The sequence below is a fragment of the Homo sapiens genome, chromosome 7, assembly GCF_000001405.40.
Source record: "Homo sapiens chromosome 7, GRCh38.p14 Primary Assembly".
Taxonomy (NCBI): domain Eukaryota; kingdom Metazoa; phylum Chordata; class Mammalia; order Primates; family Hominidae; genus Homo; species Homo sapiens.
In genome coordinates this window covers 42852521-42855951 of record NC_000007.14, presented here as the reverse complement: position 1 = coordinate 42855951, position 3431 = coordinate 42852521, and positions in this window count along the sequence as shown.

Below are 3431 nucleotides of genomic sequence, written 5' to 3'. Positions count from 1 at the left end.
GTCAGGCTGTTCTTGACCTCCTGACCTTGTGATCCACCCGCCTCGACCTCTCAAAGTGCTGGGATTACAGGCATGAGCCACTACGCCTGGCCTCATATGAATTTTTTTTTTTTTAGGAATGTATCCTTTTTTTTAAAATTAGATTTTTGCATTATGTAAATAGTTTTTGAAGGAATTCACTATTATGTGGTGCTAACTGAAGACATAAGTATCTGCCTTTAATCTCTAAGATAGAGAATGCAAAAATGAGGCAAGAGTCTTTCCGAAAAATAAATCACACAACCCTTAGAACCATTGGGTAGACATTTCTGAAAGTTTTATTATTATTATTTTGGCCTTGAGATTTAAAAATATTATTAAGGATTTAGAAATATTGTGGTCCAGTCTCAAAGTAATTATGTAATATTAACAAATGGACATTTTTGTGATCATTAAGTATCTTTTACTTCATTAGATAGGAAGCTAAAACCCCAGACTGTTTTGTCACATACATTAAAAGAAGTCCATGAGAATTTCAAATTAAGTGAAGAATTCTCATTCAACTGAAATAATTTTTGGTTTCCATCTTCAAATTTTTGAACCTTTCTTTGTTGTCTATTCAAGTCTAATTTTCTGTCACTTGGCCTGTGAGATCGTCACTGACCATACTAACTCTGTCAGCGAAAACTCCTCGTTGTGGAGATTTATTGAAGACATCTTTAAATAAACAAAAGGAAAGTCAAAAAGGCATGAAGACGGGCATTGTGAAGTGGCTCACCAATTAGCCATCTGGGTTAGATATTCGGGAAATGTGAGCTAGGGAATTTAGTTTATGAGCACCTTATTTTTCCTTCGAAAGATTCTTGTTGACATCCCCAAGCCCTAATGAGCATCTGATCCCTCTACAAGGTCTGAATCGTTCAGGGGTTTGTCTTACCCCATAGACACAACAGCAGCCTTTTAAACCCATGGCTGGAGATGTCCGTGCGATGACTGGCCTCGGGTGCTCTATCGAAAGGGTTCATATTTCTCCTCGCTCTAATCCCAGCCTGCACCTGGGAAAATACACACAACCTCTCCGCCGGCGCTCCCTGCCAGCAGCTTTCTTATCACAATATTTTAGTTAGGAGTCTGAGGACTGGGGCACAGCAGCCATAGATCTTCACCGGCAAATGAACTGGAGACCCTCACTGTGTCCCACCGTCCTCAGGTCCCACCTGAGGGAGACTCTGGAGTCCCTGAGCAGAAACAGGAGCTGGGGTGAGGCTTTCTGAGTGAGTCTTTTCAAGAGTTCAGCAGCCACTGTTCTGTCTTCATTGTCCCTAATACCATGGCTCTGCCTCAGCACACTGGACATGCTGTCACTTGATCCCTTCAAGTCTCCATGGCTTTGGGAAAGGAAACAAGCAAACGTTCTCTAAATGCACCTTTCCTTTATCCAGTCCTCCTTTCTGTCCATCAGTGTCTCTGGGATCAGAGGACTTTGTTACTCTGTGTGTCCTTCTCTTGCTTTGGAGTGTCTTCCATAAGCTTGTTGACCAGAGTCCTGCCCACTACCCGGTGCCTCTGTGCACTCCCCTAGAATTGGTTCATTTGTCAGCGAGAGACAGAGAAGCCACAGCCACCACAGAGGTGACCAGTTCAAATGGTGCCCTTTAGTAGGCACGATCTGATGGGATCCTTGCAGCAATTGTGAGGGAGTCTGTATCATCGTGCTGTGTTCAGGGGAGGAGGCCAAGGCCCTGAGTGAGTGACAGCCCCACAGAGACAGCACCCATGATCGTGAGTGCTGAGACTAACTCTCCTTAATCACCTGCATTCACACCGTCTGCTGCAAGTGTAGCTCTGATGGGAACATTGATATTACAAAGAATTTTTAATTAAAAAACATACATACACCTCAGAAATAACGAAACCGTATGTGTGTCTTAAAATCACGAAATTCACCAAGACTGGAAGACTTCACCAGGTGACACTTCCCATTACTTGAGCTGTGTATCTAGACAGGGGTTTGTTTTTCTAGGAATTAGCTAGATTTTTCTCCCACCACAGATAACCTCTGGGAGGATATCTTTTTTAAAGTCTCTTAATTGTAGGTTTTTACTACTATGACAATTTCCAAATTCCTGTTGTATTTAAAAGTATTGTAATAGATATCCCTGTTTTTCAAAATGAAAATTTGAAACATGTGCTCCAAAATTGCCATTGCTTTACTTATTTTAGTCAGGACTTCATGGTTAACAGGCATGAATATGTTAAAATATATAATTATGTTTATTCTTCCAATTATAAAAGTAATATAACAAGACATTTGGAAACTTTAGAGAAGTAGAAAGAATTCTAAACTAGCCCATAATTCTATTCCCATTGTTAACATTTCACTACTTTCTTTTAGTCTTCTTGTGTCTTTTTTCATGTGGTGTGTAATAATACATATATATGTAAAATATGTATTTTATGTAATATATTAAATATATAATTTCTTATCTATAATTTCATATGTATATATATGTACTTTGAACATCTGTAATAGTAACTGCATTAACAATAAAAGTATTGAAATATGATTATGAAATGTGAGATAATAAGGATAATTGGTTTCTAAAATGATTAAAACAATGGCGCTTGTCTTCAAGTTAAATAATTACACTGATGGACTGAAATGGCTATATTTAGTATGTGATAGAAAACAATATTGCTCAGTATAGAACTATAAATATATGTGTACTGAAACATAAGGTGGAATATAAATAGTATCTATTTACAAAGGGCCGTGTTCCAAAAAGTTTGTAGATTGTTCTCAGAGATCAGAATTGGGAGCCAGAGAATCCCTCCTCTGGCAGTGGGGTGGCTGCTTCCACACCCAAGCCCTCGCTGAGTCTCTGCTGAGAAAAATGGGAGAGGGTTTTCTCCGAGGCCTTTTCTCTGTCCCGTTTGCCTTCCTCCCTCCCTTCGCTGTCCTGAAAGCAGCACTGAAGTGGAGGGTTGGGGAAGGGGAGGAAGCCCTCTCTTCTCCTTTCCTTGTCTTCTCTCTTTCTTCCTCTCCTGTCTTCTACCGGCTTTGCCTGGGGAAGATTGGAGTCCCTGGTTCCAGGATCTGGTGATTGGGGCTCAAGAAGAGCAAGGATGGTGGTGGGTGATGTTGAGCTTGAGTCTGTAGATAGGTTAGCAGGGGTGAAAGATGGGGTAGAAAGCCTCTGTGGGTTCCAGAGGGGAAGGAAGCTTTTTCATGTCTGCAAGCAGCTACTGATAAGGGGCATATGTGAATTGTGCACGTATAGGCTATGGGATTGCTTGCGTTGTGCAATGATAACACACTCTAGTGACACTATGAAGGGAGGAAGGTCACTAACAAGTAATGAGCACTCAGTAATGTACTCGACCCTGCACAGAGCACTTTACTAAATCTCATTTTACTCTTACTCCAGTTGAAGTAGCTGCAATTATCCTCA